This window comes from Homo sapiens, chromosome 13, assembly GCF_000001405.40.
Source record: "Homo sapiens chromosome 13, GRCh38.p14 Primary Assembly".
Classification (NCBI taxonomy): Eukaryota; Metazoa; Chordata; class Mammalia; order Primates; family Hominidae; genus Homo; species Homo sapiens.
In genome coordinates this window covers 51,739,320-51,758,626 of record NC_000013.11, presented here as the reverse complement: position 1 = coordinate 51,758,626, position 19,307 = coordinate 51,739,320, and the positions used below count along the sequence as shown (strand labels likewise).

Here is a 19,307-nt window from a genome sequence, read left to right as displayed (position 1 = left end):
TGCATGTATCAGGTTTGTAATAGGTTCTCAAAAACACTCACCTTCAATGGTAACTTTTTTTTTTTTTTTTTTTTAAGAGATGAGGTCTTGCTTTGTTGCTCAGGCTAGAGTGCAGTGATGTGATCAAAGCTCACTGTAGCCTTCAACTCCTGGACTCAAGCAATCCTCCCTCCTAAATCTCCTGAGTAGCTGGGACTACAGACACATGCCACCATGGCCGGCTACCCAAGGATAACCTTTAGAACAGTGCCTCCCATGTTCTTGGTGCTCCTGTATATTTATATGAGGCCAAAGATGGAAAGCTTCTTAATAAGATGGCATCTTACCTTAATAACCTTGTCAGTTCCAGAAGTCAGTAACCATCCTCTGGTTGCATCGAAATGCACATGCACAATGTTATGTTTACTGTCATGGAAGGTGGCTGTGGGTGCACGTCTAGAAGGAGCAAAGAAAGCTTCTGAGGGGAAAAGGTGGTGACATATGAATGAGAGAGATCTAGGATGACATTAGGCTCTAAATTTTGGCCTCGTGGCTAAAACTGCTTCACTGACAGGAATGCTCCTCAGATCTGCCTTTATTCCCTGGTGACCAGTTATGATAAAAAAAAAATACAAGAAATCTTATAGTCTTTAAAATGGGAAAGAGATGAAAATTTCTAAAAGTCCTTCTGGAGAATGTTGCTCCAATGGTGTCTGTGATAATCTCCACCCGAGCTTTTAAAACCACAGGGCTTTTGCTAAGTTTGAGCTCAGAAGGACTTGCCAGTAAAATAGTCTAATTAAAAAAAAAAAAAGGACCAAGATAGTACTAAGTGTCCCATGATATTACTAAGTGTCATTCTAATAGGAAAACTATCCCCCTCCATTCATTTTTCCTTTTTCACTGGTATGACTGAAGACTTGGTTTTTCTATAGTATTCTAAAGCTGTAACAAGCAAAACAAAATAAAAAACAAACATCATTATTTTTTACCTATACTTTTTTTTTTTTTAAGTAAGAAGACTTGTCAGCTGCCTAGGTGCTCTAGAGGCAATGCAAGTGCTTCCACAGAGAAGAGGCAGAAGAAACAGAGGCGGGAAAAGGTGCAGGGTGCAGTCTAGGAGACTGCTCTTATCATGCTTCAAGGGGCCCACTCCACTGCAGTGGGCTCTCAGGACAATTTTTTTTTTTCCTTTTTTCTATAGCTAAATCTGCAGGATAGATCTTCAGTATCTTAAAATGGTTACTTTAAATTTTTAGAAGATTTAGGCTTAACTGTAAGTCCCTTAAACTCTTAAAGTCTATGTCTTTAGCTACAAAATGAAGAATTAAAGTAGGCTATCTCTAAGGTCTCTTGCACTCTCTAATTCAATGAGAAAACTCTCATTAATTTCATCACGTATGATGAGTAGAAAATAATCAATGAACATAAATGCATACTTATGCAAGGGCATCTTATTTTATATTTGATATGGATAAATAAGACTACTTATGATTTTACTGTAATACAAGGTGCTGGAAGGATTGAGAAGACAAGCTACCCTGCAGATCCTCCTGTAAGTCACTAAAATTAGGGAAATGCTGCAGAGCACTGTGTTTACATCTGGGGGCAGCTTTCAATGAGCCAACACTAAAGAGATAACATAGATTTGCCCCCACACCTCCACAGCACACCAAGGGGTAAGTAACCTATGTCCTGGGTTACTGGGCAGGTCTGACAAGCAGCCAGCTGAGTAACTGGGCAACTGGGAATATTTGCCTCTTGGGTAAAGCGACTTAGCTCTTCCCGGAAAATGAAACCTTCTGGACCCATGGACTCACTCAACTCCTGTAAAGATACCAGCTTGGGACAGAAAGTGAATCCTGAGCCCTTATACTCCTGGGTAATTCTCAAGTAAATGAGCAGACAGAAGGGTTTGTTCTGGGAGCAGCTAATTTAAAGGCACATAACCTAGAAATTAGAAAGAACACAGAGATGAATTCTTTGAGTGTATTTTCTCTTCTCTCATCTCACAGGATACCACAAATCTCTTGGTGGCAAAGGAGAGCTTTTACTGCTTGCCGTGGACTATATTCTAAACCAGCAGAAACTAGAGCAACCTGAGTGATGGTTGCGGCGCTGAGTGCAAGGCTCAGATTAAATTCTCGCCTTAACCTGAAGCGGTCTGCAGGCTGCAGGAACTTACTCTTCATCTGTGATGGCCTCGTGGCAGCTGTCACAGACCCTCACTTCAAACTCGAAGCCCATCAGGGGGATGGAGGAGCGCTTGGAGCTGCACTTGCCACAGACGGCCTTCCCACACTTGCGGCAGTGGTGCTGGAGGAGGGAGATAAAATAGATACTCATCACGGCTCCCTCAGCTCCTGAGGCCCCCGCATCTCACCCCTCCTGGCAGAGAGGTGTAATCAACTGCATCCAGGTGAGGATGCTGAACAAGAGAGCCCCAGAACTAAAGGGAACACATTGGATGTGTTCTTCTCTGGGGCTCTGTTTATTCAACAAGGACTGTTGGGTAACACACCTGACAGGGATACCACCCCACTCTCCTGCTTTCCCTACTCTTGGTCCTTTCCAATGATCATACTAGGAACTACAGAGGAACCACCCAGGGGCCAGGTGATCTTAAAGCGGGGTGTCTGAGAAACTGCCGTCTCAGGAGATTATGCTGCTGGATGAAGGAGAACATGCAGGAAACCTGATTGAATCTGCTGACTTTGGCCATGGTAAGCCTAGGTGACCTAACATTTGATTTCCTTGGGGAAGACCAAACAGAACCATGGAATCAGATTGAAAATGCTGTATTATAAGTAGATCTAAATAACTAAAATTAATCAGAAGGAGGGAAAGTAAAATAAGGAGAGAGAAACACCACTTATATAATTTCATGGTCTGGTTTCCATACGAACTAAGCATGACACCTCTAATTGTAAGGTGCACTGCAATAGAGGCCAACAGAATTCTAAAATCACATCCCTAACTGCTTACTGGGAACCAACCACTACAGAAACTGAATCCAGTAGGAATGGGCTATGGTAGACAGAGTAAATTACTGTGCAATCACGAGGTGACTCCAGGATAATAATTTACCCTCACCACAACTCCCACCCAGGGGTGTTATTTCTTCTAAGATCACATGGTTGAGCTATTTCCATATAATTACATTTTGATGAAGCATCCATATCACTCACCTGTCTTAGACCAATTTTCTTACTGTCCCACATTTGCTTGAAGTTCCAGAAGAAAGGCTGATCACACTTTTGGCAGGAATCACTGTCCAACCATTCAGGGGTCTTGTCAAATAAAGCACAGAACAGGTCACTGTGGCCAGCAGTCAGGACAATGGAAACCACTGACCCTGATGAAACTTATGGAGCTATCAGGATGTGTTTAAAAGAAACAGAGGTGTGATTTCTCAGTCAATCATTCAAAAAATATTTACTGAATGCCTATTCTGTGGCAGGCCCTGGGGATGGGATGTAGTGGTGAATAAGAATCTCCACCATCATGAAAATATGATTAATAATTATTTACATAAGCATAAGTGTGTGAAGGCCCAAGAGGGAGAAGCACAGAGTGCTTTGGCAGAGAGATCACAGGAGCCTCTGACCCAGGCTGAGGTTCTCAGACAAATAAGACAACTGAGACCTGGGGATGGCTGGAGCACAGATGGGGAAATGAGAGATGAGGCTGGAGGGGGCAGTATTAATGTTTGTTTGTGAAACAATTTCTCAAATACCAGCTTATTACCATTAAAATTATGTAGTAAAAACAAATAAATATTTAAAGACATGGAACATGTTCAATATATAATAAACTAACACAAAACCCCCAGGTTATTAAATAGTATCATAGCACAGAGTTAAGAGAGACTAGGAGAAGATATTTATAAAGTTTGTAACAAACAACTCCTGCAAATTACTGTATACAAAGAACCCCTGGAAAATCAATACGGAAATAACAAGAAGCAGTTGAGAAAATGGCAGATGATACAAAAGATATGAGCATGCAATTCACAGTCAGGGAAGTCTGAATGGCTAACATATATGAAGAGAGGCTCAAATTTACTGTTAAGCAGAGAATGCAAATAAAAATGAGATACTATTTTACCTCTGTCTCCAAAAGGGCAAAACCAGAAAGGGAGGGAACAATCACTATTGGTGAGGATGTGGGATGTCAGAAAACTCCCTGTTCTCCATGAGAAGTATAAATGAGTACAGCTGTTTGGTTATTTAGCAAAATCAAGAATATACCTTCAATTGATCCCACTCTTGGGTTTATGGCCCTGAGTCTCATACAGGGCAGGTCTGTGACGGGACACATATAAGAAGGTCATCTGGGCACTGTGTGTGGTACCAGGGAGTTTGTGCCAGTCTACACGCCCTTTGTTTGGGAAACAGAGAAGTAAAATGTGAATGGTACACATGATGGGGTCCTATGCAGAAGCAACACAAGAAACAGCAGGATGGGAGAGCTCAAAAGGGTTCAATGGCAAAAGTTGGAAATAGAACCAGACTAACAGTACATCAATTAAGTAAACTTTTTTTTTTTTTTTTTTTTGAGACAGCCTTGCTGTGTTGCCCAGGCTGGAGTGCAGTGGTGCGATCTTGGCTCACTGCAACCTCCGCCTCCTAGGTTCATGCAATTCTCCTGCCTCAGCCTCCTGAGAAGCTGAGATTACAGGCGTCTGCAACCATGCCTGGCTAATTTTTTTTTTTTTGTATTGTTAGTAGAGACAGGGTTTCGCCATGTTGACCAGGCTGGTCTCAAACTCTTGACCTCAAGTGATCCACCTGCCTTGGCCTCCCAACAGCTGGCATTACAGGCGTGAGCCACCGTGCCCGGCTGAGTTATGTAAACTTTAAAACACACACACAGACACACATACACACACACACACACCTTTTATAAGGAAGCATGCGTGTTCAGGACACACATCAAACACATCACAGTGGGTATCTGTGAGGAGGCATTTGGGAGCTAAAGACCAATAAAGGGGAAAAAATAAATCAGCATGTTTGTGATTCTATTTTTTGTTCAAAAAAAAGTCTTACACACGTGTTATGTGTAGAGAAAAATGTTAGGAAGGATGTGTGCCAACATGTTCAGAGTGATATTTCTGGATGGTGGTAGTATGAGTAATTGACATCTTTTCTATTTACTAATGAGCATTTTGTAACTTTTCTACCAAGAATGTTATATACAATATATACTTTTAAAAAATGCTAAAAGTTAACAAAACAAAAATGGATTTCATTAACTGTATAAAACACCTGTTCAACCTATGCAATGTCACTCGATCTACATCCAGCCACTCAAGGTCTTCCATTGTCTGTCCTTATCTTTCAGCTAGCTGCCATCCTCTCATCTCTGACTGCTTCTCTAAACCGCTCATGAGCATTAATGCACTGCATCAACCTATCGTGTTCACCTTGTCCTTACTCTTGCTGTTTCGTGGCCTGCAAAGCCCATGTGCTCCTGCTCAGAGCACATCCAGACTCTGTTGATCCTTCAGCACAATGTTCCTCCCTCAATCCTTCACTGGGAACATTAGCCAATGATGACTCCATCCCTTCTAAAATACCCAGCACTGATGCTCTAGCATATATCAACTATAATTTCATCATTTACACCATTTAATAGAATTCTGAAGTTTCCTCCTACAAGCCTTTTCTTCCAGAAAGTCTGTCAGTACTTCAGGTTAGAGATGACTTCAATATATGTCGCAGACCTCCCAAGGTGAGCATCACACAGCACTTATCATAACCACGAAGCAGCTCCACAGAGGCTAAGATGAAAACAAAAATCTCAGGAAATTTATGTTTATAAAAATGATACTTGCAAAAAAATGAATGGAACCATCTCCATTGCTTATTTAGAGTGTTGACTCACTGAATAAGATTTTAAATTAGTCAATAGTATTGGATGCCTCTATATCTGCATATCAATAGGCTCATAAACAAGGTTGCTCAAAGAACTGCCCATCAACCACTTGGTTTCATCTCTGGACACCACACTGTTATCTTCCTTTGGCCTCTGTCCATAACGGGTCCAGGCTACGTGCACCAAAGGAAAAGAATTGGGTCCTTCTCCCCTCCCCTGGTTTGGTTAGGAGGGCCCAGAAAGAAGTCAGGACAGACCAGGTGTGACTGTCCCTAACCCAAAGCAGGCTACCGTGCAGAACCCAACCCAGGACATAATCACCAGCCATGCGGGAACATGGTTAGCATGACCAGCACTCATCACAACGATCCCAGCCTTTGTATTAATGGTGCCAAATATAGTTTTCAAAAGCAATGTTCTACCATTTCCCACCTTCTAACAGTAATGATCATTTTGATTAGTTACTAATAGAAGTCCCATGGACTTAAGATCTGAGCAAATAAAGCTTTAATCTTCTTAAGCATATAATTACTGGCATTTGAAAAGGCATGACATTGTGGGTAATAGCGACTACTCTCTTGAAATGAGACTGGGGTGAGGGCACAGAAAGAACGTGGGAGACCCCTTTTGTCTTTTTAAAATGTTGCTTTTCTATGTAATTTTTGTATCCTGCAAGAAATTAATTATAAGAATGTGCATTGTCAAAGGGAAAGTCTACCCAGAATAATTCTAACGTAATTGGAAAATGGTTAACTTCAAAGTACTTGTCAAAAGAGATATGCAGGAAACATATTTGTTGTTAAGATGCTCAAAGATTAAAATGAAAGCTCATAAAAAAGAATGTTCTGATAACATGTAAATACGTGCTAGAAAACTAAGGATATATTGATATCTGGGGAACTATTTAGAACATGACTTATAAAGTACAAAATAATTATTTCTAGTATTTCTATTAATACCAAACTAAGGATTCTTGCTTCATCTTAGCCACTATTTTCTTCCATGACATAAATCACGTGAGTCCTCCGTTTTTGTAGTGCATTTTATACCAAAGGACTAATCACCAGGAAATAGATGGTTTCTTTTCCTCACCTGTACTTTTGCTGTGAATGGTGTAACAGATTTAAACAGCTTAGTCTCAGTCAAAATTCTTATGAACTCTCCATCACAGTAATGTTACATGCCAACTTGTGAGGGAAAAAAAAAACAACCCAAACAACTCCTTTTATGCTACAATTCTTTAACGTTACATGCCTTATTTCATGGTTTAATCATAAAAGAAATAAGAAATAAGCAGGAAGGGAGGCAGGGCCAGAACCACAGGGCCCACCCCACCCTGCTGTGCCACCTACCTCCTGCCTCTCCACGTCCATGTTCCAGACGACAATCCCACCATCACCGCCACAGGAGATCAATTGTCGCGTGTGCTGTGCATAGGAGAGGGCCTGGACTCTGTCGCTGTGAAAGAAACCAAGGGTTATTGACAGTTTAGGAGAACAAATGCAAGGCCTCGCAGCAGAAACCTTGGCAAAGTCAGCCAATGTGCTCACTCACTCCGAGCCCCCAGTGTAGATCTTAGAAACCTGTTGGAATTTTCAGCATGTTAAAGGTCAGAAGAGTATCCAGGATTTAAAATAAGTCTGAATGCTCCTGGCATGTTCAGGCCCCAGGAAGAGGTAATCTGTCAGTTACAACTTTTTTCCTTTTTTAAGGAAAAAAGCTGATTGTTGAATGGGCTGTAACTTCTTACTGGTTCCCTCCTTCCTTAAGTGATCAAAATGTGTAGCGTATGTTCATTTCACATTTGTTCAAGAGTCATGATTTTTCCTTTTAAAAAATTATCCTTGAAGAGTTTTGGAGGTCATCCATTGAGATGCCCACTGGATTTACCTGACACAGCCAGGTAAACTGTGTTGCCTGAGGTGTGCACCTCACAAGTGGCTTGGGACCAGGCATGCCTTTACTTGGCTCCCAGAGTGAATCCATAGCAGTAACAGACTTGAATTTCACAGGCTCTCCATTTCTCTAGTTTTTACTCTCTCTCTCCTGATTCTGTTTTATTTTTCTTTCTAGTTTGTGCATGGCTGACAAGTTATTCCCTCTTGGCGGCAAAAATGATGGAGAATCTAGTTTTATGGTCTGAGTGATTGCTAGCAATGGATTACAGAGATCTATTCTCTATTGGGTGAGAGAATAGGGTACATAGTTTCTTGGTCTTTTTTTTTTTTTTGTATGTTCGTCTATTTTGAGCTCAAATCAATGAAGAATTTTGTTTCTACTGGGAAGGAGAACAGCTCTTTGATATCTGGACTGGTGATTTTTTTGTGTTTCTATTTATTCTTGATCTGTGGCTGAAGTTGAAAAACTAAAGCTATTAAGCTGTGTGTGTCTATGTGTTTATAATCCAGAAAAGCCTTCACCTCTTGCTGTGTGTGGAATGCTTTCCTATTTCCAGAGGGTGTCAATAAATTGGATTACGATACCTTTTAAATTAAAAGAACTTGTTCTGATTGTTTGATAAACAAGTGCTTTTATAAGTTGAATCCTCCTAAAATCACAGAACATCAAACCTCTAATATTTTGAACCTGCTAGACTTAAACATAAAAATTCTTTTAATAGAAACTGCTAGCCAATTCAGTAATATTTTAAGAATCCAAGTTCATAAAATTAAGTTTCATTTGGCAAATGAGACTAGTAACATAGGTTTTAAAATGTTACATCTTTCTCTGATTTATTAGTGTTGAACAGAATACAAGTGTGCATTTTATTTTTACTTCTCCTAAATTTATTCAGGATAGCTGGTCAAGTGAACTCATACATAATGTTTAAGATTATTAAAAATATAAATTTGTGTTCAGCTGAATTGAATAACTATTCTGACAAACTTTTTATATGAATAGCAATTATGTTTTGTAGCGTATCAACTTAAAGATAATTTCCAAGGTCTTTAGGTAACAAAATGGACTAATGTTAACCTGAGCTAATCAATAATCATTGGATACCTAGATAATTTCTAAGTAAGTTAGAATACTGTGACTTTGATTATAAAGTATAATATTAAGTTTATATATGTTTGCTTCTTATTTTTCTATGCTATAGTGAGGCTATACCTTTGAGTTGTGTCAATACAGGAGTTCATTTTTTGCCACTTTAAGGGAATGTAAAAGTGCCTTATGTCACTATGGAAATTTCAGTAATGTGTGTTCATGAGTTTTGCTAGTCTGCTAAAATGATTATATGGGACGATTTCCAATTGTCCATATCCTCCCTCCTCCTAATTTTCTCTATGAAATATAAATTAGTTTCTCTGGTTAATTATTATAATTTAAATGGGTGGTTGAGATTATGCCAGGAGCATTAATGAAAAAGAAATACAGTGGTTTTTGTTTTTCAAATCAAAACAGGGTAGCTTTGTATCAAAGCAGTGGTTCTTGAACTTTTTGGTCTCACAATCCCTTTATACTCTTACAACTTATTTGACGACACCAAAGAGCTTTGGTTTAGTAAGTGATAATGATCGATATATACTTAATTTGGAATTAAAACTGAGAAATTTTTAAAATATTAATTCATTTGAAAATAGCAATGATGAATCCATTTCATTTTAACATAAGTCACATATTCTGTAAAAAAAGATATTTTCCAAAACAAAAAATTTTGATGAGAAAAATGACATTGTTTAATATTTTTGCGAGCCTTTCTAATGTCTGGCTTAATAGAAGAGATGGATAATCATCTTTCTGCATTTATCATAATCATAATATCACTTATCATGTAGCTTCTGGAAAACTCCATTGTATACTTTCGAGAGAATGAAGATGAAAAGGGCAATACTAAAGTGTCTATTTGTTCTGGAATATGAAAGAGAAAAATGAAGGACAAAACTTGGAAAGTCAGTTTTACTTGCTTTGGCTTATAATACTTTAGTCTGAAAAAAAGGTATAAGATGCATTACAATTTTGGCTAAGTTCCCTCAGTTTTGATGGCTTGCTTCCTTACTTTACTGATTAATGCCTACAATGTGAAAGGATGTTCTTTACCTTCTGTGGAATCTGCCTAGCTAGCAGACATTCTGTGTCTCACCAGAATTATTTTCAGTGCTTTATGTTGACTTGATTAATGCTCTTAAGAAAAAAAAAAGAGAGAGAGAGAACAAGGAGTACTCACGTGTGAAAAGAATTTTAAATTATTTAAAATTGTGTTATCATCTATGTTTATTTTTAAATGTTTTACCGCTTTGATTATATAACCAGACATTGCTTCTTAAACACCTGTGCTCCTGTCTTACCCTACTTAAAATTCCCTTGACAACTCTTGTTAGAAATAAAGCTCGAAGTCACAAATGAAATGAACACTCCAATAGTTGATTTCTCAGCAAGGCAAAGTTTACTTCTGCAGAAGGGTGCTGCTCATTAGTCTGATCACAAGAGCACATCCAACAAAGGAAAGCAGCAGCTTTATCACTAACGCGTTGGCTCCTACTGCTGTGTCCAGTCCCCACTGGCTAGAGTTGGACAGCACAATCTAAGCCGAACACGGTTGGCTAACTTGAGAAGTGCAGGGATGTGGTTACACCGGTGGAAAAACAGTTTTGGCAGTCGGGGGAGGGGGCGTTGTGATGGGAGGGGTGATTTACAGAGTGAGTAGCAGATGTGGAATGTGGGCTCTATAGATAAAGACTGAGAGGAAGGTTGTTTCCCAGGGCAAGGGAACACAGAGAGTAAGAGAGTCTGGCCTTGAAAGCAGGGAACAAAGGACAAGGGAACCCTTTGAAGAAGAAGGTCTTACTGTATACAACTCTGGTTTTGCCTTTCCAAACTGAACCTCTGTTTTGAAAAAATAAAATTTTTAGGATGTGTTTTATGCCTAAGATTTCCCAGAGAGGTCCTAGAAAATCATAAAGACTTGTTCCCTCATCTTACAAAAAGAGAAATGTGGTGAGGCGCAGTGGCTCATGCCTGTAATTCCAGCACTTTGGGAGGCTGAGGCAGAAGGACTGCTTGAGCCAAGAAGTTTGAGACCAGCCTGGGCAGCATGGTGAGACCCTGTCTCTACAAAAATTAAAAACTCAGTCAGATGTGGTGGTACATGCCTGTAGTCCCAGCTACTAGGGAGGCTGAGATCAGAGGATCACTTGAGCCTGAAAGGCTGAGGCTGCAGTGAGCTGTGATCATACCACTGCACTCTAGCCTGGGTGACAGAGCAAGACCTTGTCTGAAAAAGCAAACAATTTTTTAAAAAGAAATGCTATAAATAATTGCATTTGTTTCATGTGTTACTATGTTAAGAGTAAATGGGAATAACTGTCAGATCGGAAGAGATCCTCAGCCTGCTCTATGTTAAGTCAGTAGGTAAAACATTTTATTAGTATTTCAGAAATTACATGTTTTATTGGAAGACTGTGGAGATTTCCTGATGTCGTTATTGTCTATAATATGTTTTTACCCTTGGGGAAATACTGATCACAATTCTTAGGAAAGAGTTATATAGCATATCCCAATGGGGAATTTTACTTTCCCTCATTCTGATATCATTGGTCACAATTACAAATTAACCCTTACGTTACAAAATCTCTATAATCTGTAGATAATTTCTGTATTATTCTGATCCTTGCCTGAAGGCTCTGCTATAGCATTTGTGACTTCAATAAAGGACAGCCTCAGAGTTTCATGGAAAAGAACTATTTGTACTAAGTATTTTAAAATATTGATATTTCAAAGAACAGACTCTTTGGCACAGGCCGCTGAGCTGACATTGCTTAGATAATTTTTAAGCTGTGCCAGCGGATTGAGTCAGGATTTCCTTGGATTTCTGGACCCTTTTTAGTCTGGATGCAGATGGCTTCTTGAATGTGAACTGCTAAACCAAGAACCATCAGAACAAGAATTAATTACAGTTCATTCATAGAACTGAATGAACAGAAGAGGGAAATTTTATTGTGGTTATTTGTCTGGAATACTGTTGATGTTGTTTTAATGTTCTATTTTCTGGATATATGAGGATGCCTTTTCTCTATTTTAAAGCTATCTCTAACCCACAATTTCGTAAACTCTGTTATTATAAGTTAAATCAAAACATTTAAGAAATGATACCCAATTCTCACTCATTGCCCAGAATTTAAGAAAACTATTACAGAGATTCCTTAATTTTCATGGAAACATAGTTATTTGCATCGATTCAGTGAGAATCTATCCGCAAGATATAACTGGGCAAATCAACTTTATAACCTGGAGTGTCATGTGTGAGAATGATGCTCATTGAATCAGATATGACTAGCCACTTTAAGAACTCATACAGCCAACTTACAAAGCCTTCCCAGGAAAACTGGCCTGGTACCTGATTTACAGGGTCCTGGCCTTACAGCTGGTAAGGAAGGTACCAGGCCAAGAACCTAGCAAATGGTGGAAACTTTGAGGAATTCAACTGTTGTTGCAAATACTGTAGGTGAAATATAGTAGAGTTTCTTGGGCTTGGTTTTCTAGCCTTGGTATGGCAAATTTTAGAGGCTTTGAAAAGTCCAGTTCAGCAGTGGCTCACGCCTGTAATCTCAGCACTTTGGGAGTTCAAGACCAGCCTGGCTAATGTGGAGAAACCCTGTCTCTACTAAAAATACAAAAATTAGCTGGGCATGGTGGCACATGTAATCCCATGTAATCCCAGCTACTTGGGAGGCTGAGGCAGGAGAATAGCTTGAACCTGGAGGTGGAGATTGCAGTGAGCCAAGATCACACCATTGCACTCCAGCCTGGGGGACACAGCGAGACTCTGTCTCAAAAAAAAAAAAAAAAAAAAAGAAAAAGAAAAAGAAAAAGAAAAGTCCAGTGCAAGATTCTTTATAAAAACTTCCAGGTAGAAGTGAATTTTGTGGGCTTAACACAAAATTGTTGAATACTGTGTGGCTCTGGATATGCAAAACAAATCCGAGTGGCCTATATGGTTAATTAACACTCTTTACTGTACCAATATAAATAATCAGGACTAACCTCATAAGACCAGCCTGGTTTTTTTTTTTTTTTTTTTTTTTTTTTAAATGAAGGATAATCACTGAGATTATTACGATCACAGGGGAGGAGGGGGGAAGCACAGTCAGATAAACTGAGAAAGATTTGAAATGGGCAAAAAGTGATCACTGGGTATCTTTTCAGCGGAACTTCAGGTGTTGTCTAGCACACTTTTCTGGGCTATCTGATTCTACAGGGGACTACACCTTTTAGTATTTTTACTGATCTATTTACAACTCTTAAAGAATACTGATATTACTGCAAACAAATCTTGTCCAGTTAAGACACACCTAATCCCACACTCCACCCTGCCCATGGGAGAAGCCAGCTGTGCGTCTGCTAACAAATTCATTTTCACATTCTCCATTGCCTATGTATGTGTCTACTCTTTGGATTTTCCTTTGGACTGCAGTAACCACTTACTTTGCCAGTTAATTAATTATTAATTAATGCCTAATATAAAATCTTTGACATGTATTCATTTTTTTAAAAGCCAATTGGGTTTTCCCTATCTCTCCTGGTTGTTATTTCACACTTTTTAAAGTATAGAGTGCCACCACTGTGACACTCAAGGGCAAGAAAAATCAATCTAGTTGCACAGACTCGTAACTCTATGATTTGAACTACATTTCATTTGTTGAGCCATCTTGATACACATCAATGATCTTGTAAAACCAAAATAAGCTACATAAGGAACTGCTTTGCCACTCATAGCTGGCAGCAACATTCAGCAACAAATACATAATTTATGGGACTCCAGTGCTGTTAATATTCCAACATAGAAGAGTGAAACACAGTGATGAATGCTGGATTCCAAGTTTGATAATAAAGCTGCTCTGGGACTTCTTGATTTAGGGATTCAAAATATAACCACCTTTCAGTTAAAAGCTAGGTGAGGGAACATCCCAGGTTTACACGTTAGGGGTTACGAAGAATGAACAGATACCTTCTAACATTCATGTTTCAGCTGACATCACTGTAGCGTTTATACTAGAAAGCATTTCAAACTGGTCATTATTTCATGGATGAGTGTTACCATGTACTGCACTGCAAATGCTCTTACAAGTGCACAAAGCCCCCACTTTTCACAACCACCAGGATCTGCCATCTATAAATACTACAGTTAGTGGGATGGCCTCATTTCCTTTCTCACCAGTCCTAGCAGCAACATATGTCTGTCAGGTCCAAACATATAATTGGAGGGACTAGTGCAAAATGAAAATACAGAGTCCCTTTAAAAAACTTGATTAAGAATTACAAGATGGTGGCAGCAGCTCATTAAACCAAGTGTGAGGCCCTTCTAAGAATGGGGCCTTGTGTGACTGCACATGTCACATGCCCATGAAGCCAGTCCTGTGTCTGATGATTAAGGGAGAGGGTAGAGAAGACCTTATCCTTTTTAGAGAAACAGATCTCAGACACAAGCTAACATCTGCCCAACGGTCAACTTAAGCCTTTCTTCATCCCTCAAGAGTAAGGGGAACTCAAATGTATAGCATTGTTCATTTCTTTGATGAAAAGTTTAGGTTATTTAGTGGGCATCTAATTAATTATGCTTCTACTACCAGAGATCTCACTCTCCTATATGCATAAATCTTCCAAGCTCCAAGGACCAGAGAAGGCTGTGAGCAATCCACACAAGTGAGGTCTCCCAGACAATAATATGTAGGGTCATCCCAAGCCAAAGCACCGTAAAAGGGATCTGCTTCCTCAGGGATCCTTGGCCCACTGCCAGGCTAAACCTGAACTCAGGGACCCCCGTCTGGGGGCACTGGTTTGAGCACCAGCGATGTTCTGCTGTTTGGTGGCAGGGTGGAGGTTCAGATTAGGCTCTCGCCCTCTGTCCACTTGTATTTCCTAAACCCACTGTATTTTAGTTCATGCCATTCTCTGTTCTGGGTAACCTCCTAATCCTGAGAACTATGAGAATCTCTTCATCTAACATCATCCAAACCAAGAGTGACCCCCGCACTGAGGCCTCCCACTTTCCAGTAAAACTGGCGAACGGTGCCACCTTTGCCTATTTTCATACTTCTAGCACGTCTCCACAAAGGCAGGGCTATTTCCTAACTCACTTTTGTGTCCTGAGTACCTAACACAAAGTCTGGTATGTAGCTGGAGTTCAGTAAACATGTGTTGACTGAGTTATGAATATATGTTAATATTTCCATAGGAAATTCTACAGAGAGAAACAGTAGTCAGATCCCAAGGCAGGATTTTTGACTTGGAATTTTTTATTAACAAGAGTAATCTTAACAACCGCCATTTAACAGGCCTGTACTCCTGGGCTGATTATTTTATATGCATTACATCATTTATATTTTTTTGACAACCTTGTGAGGGTTTTTCCTTCCAATTTTGTCCTTATTTTAGAGATAAGAAAACTGAAGATCAGAAAGGTGCAGTGCCTCGCCTGAGGCTGCAGGCCATTGGCAGAAGGGCCAGCTCAAATATAGTTTGACCTGACTCAGAGGCCTGCACACTAATGACCACATTTTCCAGCCCTTCTGTCTTTGAGAAGATTCTACCTTCTATGAAAACTCTCATAGCTGATATTTTGATCTATTATGTGTTTAGCTAAATAGTTAGAAATAAAAAAGACACATCTCGTCCCCTCTATCCTAACAGTTCCCTAGCACCACAGTGGGAAATGCTCTTAAATCTCACAGATTTGAGCAGAAAGCTGTCATTTGTACTGATCCTTGTCCACCTGTCCTCTAACCCAGAAGCTGAATGCAAGAATTCTACTCCTTTTATAACTTTCAATGCAATTTACTTGATACAAGGGGAAAAGCACAAATTCTCTCCATGTATATTTATTTACAAGTGGCCTATTTCTTTACCAAAAGGCTTTGAGGACTCTTACAACAAAATTCTCATATGTGGTAAGAGTAGTAAGAGAGAAATCAAGAGCTTGGATTTTGGAAGGAGAAAGCAAATACACAGACTGGAAGTGCCAAGGGTCATGGCTGTGACCTAGCCTCACATAAGCTGCTGAATCCATTCTTGGTGGAGGGTTCCAACATGAGGAATAGCAAAGATCTTTACTGGTGCTTTAAGTCAGGTTATATTAAATTACCATCAAGTCTTAGAAGGATAGGAAAACACTATTAGAAAGAAAAATTACGGGCGTGAAGTTGGTCAAGAAATGACAGTATTATGTAAGAATTTAAAAGGGTTCTAAAAAGACCAAGTACCGTTATTAGCTATGACAAGGTAGGCATGGGACAATAAGTGTCCAGGTTTATGTTTCGGTAATAACCATCCAACTAGTAACTGATGCTTGCAAATATAACTGGTCCCGGAATCTGGAACCTTTTTTTTTTTGCCCTTCCTCCCACAGAGCTAGCACAGCATACAATCACGATCCACTTGCTACAGGGAATAAATACACCAGAATGCTTCCAATGCAGATAATATTGTATAAAAGAATACTTTCTTAGCTTTTTTTCCCTTGGACTTGGAAACAGTTTCACTGTCATCAATCACTTTCTTTGGTGCTAAAGCTTTCTCTGCTTTATGGGATTTTTACACACCAAATCAAGCTAGTTATAAAAATGTCACATTTTCTGTTGCTGAAGGATGGTAAGAAGCTGTGGAACTCAGAACAGAAGACATGTGCAGCTGTCCCTCAACAGAATGGCTGGACATTTCCATACCAAGGAAAGGCAGTCTCCCTATCCTGGGGAGGCCAGTCTGCTCTCCCCGGTTTCCAGGCTCACCAATTATGCCCCTAATTTGGAACTATGGCCACCATCAGTCACTTTAACCAGGAACTGTAGGAAAGCAAAGGGCAGCCTTGAGGCCTAAGCATCAGCACACATCACCAGGCATGTCGGGGACCATGTGTTAGTCAATAAATGCTCATTTTAGTATCCCCAGTGCCTTACTGAGGGCTGGGTATACGAAAGGTGCTAAGCAGCTCCCTGCTGGACTCAATTAAGGTTCAGAGACCTAAGCTACCAGCTGGGGTCTTAATACTGAATATTAATATTGAATACCTCAATATTCTCTTCTAAAAATGATATCTGAGCTCTCTCTTTTATAGTGTTATTGCAAGATTGAACGGAGTCTGTGTGTTTTGAAAGCTCTTTCACAAAATATTAGGTGTACTCAAATACGAGAATCACTGAATGCCAGCAGCTGACTTTCAGGGTAAAGGAATGGCGGCTGCGCAAGTTGTTCCCTGCCTGCCTGAAAGTGGTCTCCTTTTCTGCCAGATGATCCCGAAACCTTCTTTCCATGCCATCTCCCTACTTCTGGCAGCTCCAGGGACTTCTCTATCCCCACCCTGGCATTCAGACCCACTCTAACAGACTGACACTGACTGATGCTGAGGAAGTTTAAATTAAATTTTGGAGGAGCTGGCTCTGTGATACCAGAGCAACCCCTCCCCGGGGTTAAAACCTGATGACAAGGAGTCCCTCATAGAGCTCACTTTATGTATTACTAAGCTTGAATTAAATAAAGCACCAGGCAAAGGCCTTCTGCCCTTCATCCTGTGTAAAGCCACTTCTGCCTGGTGGCTCCTGATCTCAGCAGCCTGCCTGCTTACCTGTGCAAGTTCTAAGGGCATGATTCTATCAGCATGGACTCCAAGCAGGGTCTATTCCATTTTCTAAAAGGACAAGTCTGTACTTAGAAACTGGAAGAGCTATTTGTTAAAGTTTTATTTTTCTAGGACTGAGAGACTTATCTAAACTTTATAGCTTTTCCTTTCGTAACAAACTGTAGGCGTAAGTTTCCCAGAACCACATTTTCCATTCAGGTCAAGGGCCCTTTGCACACAGTGATGCTGGTGTTAAGCACTGCTGCAGTTCAGCATCTGGTGCATGAAATCGTGCAAAAGTGCTTGCAGTCTTTATTAACCACTGCGTACAAATAAAACTAGTTAGGAGTGAAATGAATGAGTCCAGTGAATATTAGTCATCTTCATTCAAGACCTGCATTTCACTTCTCTGAGAGAGTCCAAGTTGGCAGGAATTTCCTGGCAGATTAGATGATAATAGTGTTATTAAACACAACTGTGCTTTGGCTTTTTTTTTTTTTTTTGAGACGGAGTCTTGCTCTGTTGCCCAGGCTGGAGTGCAATGGTGTGATCTCGGCTCACCGCGACCTCCACCTCCTGGGTTCAAGTGATTGTCCTGCCTCAGCCTCCCGAGTAGCTGGGATTACAGGCACGCGCCACTATGCTCGGCTACTTTTTGTATTCTTAGTAGAAACGGGGTTTCACCATGTTGGCCAGGCTGGTCTCAAACTCTTGACCTTGTGATCCGCCCGCCTCGGCCTCCCAAAGTGCTGGGATTACAGGCGTGAGCCAATGCACCCGGCCCTGGCTTCCTTTTTTCTTCTCTTACGTGGATGATGTGAACTCCTTCTACAGGACCTGGATGTGTGTTCCCTTGTCATAAAGATAAACGTAAGGGAATGATTCCTCTAATGAACTGATGACAAGGTCTGAGTGGCCCCACAAGCCAGGAGTGACCCCAGACAGCTGTTCTGTTCTCCAACATGAGAAAGAAGGGCTTAGTAGCTACTTCTCTAACACTAAATTCTAAAACTAAAACAAGTATTTGTACACAGGCCCTGCCATCCAAAATTTAATTAGTTTATGTCCAACAACTCCAAACTAGATTTAACTATTTAGGAGAATATTTTGAAACTAGGGTTTCCAAGCAGATTTACAGGAAAAGCTAGTGTTGCTTAAAACCGGTTAGTTCATAGAAGCATTACAAACATTTGTTTATGGCTGTCAAGGGTTGCTCAATATCATTTTGAAAACTTTACAACTAAAAAACAATTCAGATGAGCACTAGAGTTGTAAAGCAGATCTAACATTCTTTTATGCAAAAAGATTAAGCTTTGGCCCCAGGGACAGCAAGGCGTCTCAGGGTGTGGGCTGAGGGTCACCAGTGGGGAGTTGCCTGGGAAGCTTGTCAAAGCACAGATCCACACCGCTCTGGACGGCAACCAGAATCTTAGCAGACAGGGACCGGACATCTCAGAGATTCTCTGTACCCAGCAAAGTTTGAGAACTGCTCCAAGGAAATGCAAGGCTTTCTCTGTACTTCCTCTCAGCCCCCTAAAATCTATCCTTTAAGGAAAAAGAGCCTGACATGAATCAAGGCAAGTACTCAATAAATATTTGGTCAAGTACAAAATGTACTGTGAAGGATCTTACCTCTCCTCTTTTCCGTATGCTGCCAAGGAGCTTGAAGCCACATTTGAACTCAATTATATAAATTTTGTAAGCCTTCACAGCTTGTATTTTCAAGCTTTTTTTTTTCCTCACTCTCAAATTTTTACTGTTATATTCTTCCCAGTTCTAATTTTTACCTTTTATTTATTCACTGCCATTACTTTATTTTATGGTTTTTGTAAGCACTCTCAAATGCTCTGTGGAATAAAATGGGGTATAAGTATATAAACACAGTTTTACACAGTTA

The 19,307-nt window shown here is 40.1% G+C and overlaps 2 protein-coding genes across 16 annotated transcripts in view; one reads left to right on the top strand and one right to left on the bottom strand.

The window, feature by feature from the left end:
• DHRS12 (dehydrogenase/reductase 12) overlaps nt 1-3,773 on the top strand; it is a 49,310-nt gene extending 45,537 nt beyond the window's left edge. For 6 of the 7 annotated variants that reach the window (XM_047430642.1, XM_047430638.1, XM_047430637.1 and 3 more), the window contains one exon: nt 1,995-3,773. In XM_047430642.1, the coding sequence (XP_047286598.1) occupies nt 1,995-2,057 (63 nt within the window). In that variant the 3' untranslated portion in view covers nt 2,058-3,773. The remainder of the gene's footprint in view (nt 1-1,994) is intronic. The other variant, XR_007063698.1, reaches the window with a different exon arrangement.
• The window catches only part of WDFY2 (WD repeat and FYVE domain containing 2), a 183,248-nt gene that overhangs the window by 9,083 nt on the left and 154,858 nt on the right, over nt 1-19,307 (bottom strand). For 7 of the 9 annotated variants that reach the window (XR_007063659.1, XR_941483.2, NM_052950.4 and 4 more), the window contains 4 exons: nt 7,212-7,317; nt 3,168-3,269; nt 2,165-2,295; nt 327-435 (listed from right to left, as the gene is read on the bottom strand). Coding sequence is in view for 7 of the 9 variants with exons in the window: in NM_052950.4 (NP_443182.1) it covers nt 327-435; nt 2,165-2,295; nt 3,168-3,269; nt 7,212-7,317 (448 nt within the window). In the remaining 2 variants the exon portion in view is untranslated. Of the gene's footprint in view, nt 1-326; nt 436-2,164; nt 2,296-3,167; nt 3,270-5,594; nt 5,765-7,211; nt 7,318-19,307 lie in introns of those variants that run through there. The other 2 variants (XM_047430089.1, XM_047430091.1) reach the window with 1 other exon arrangement.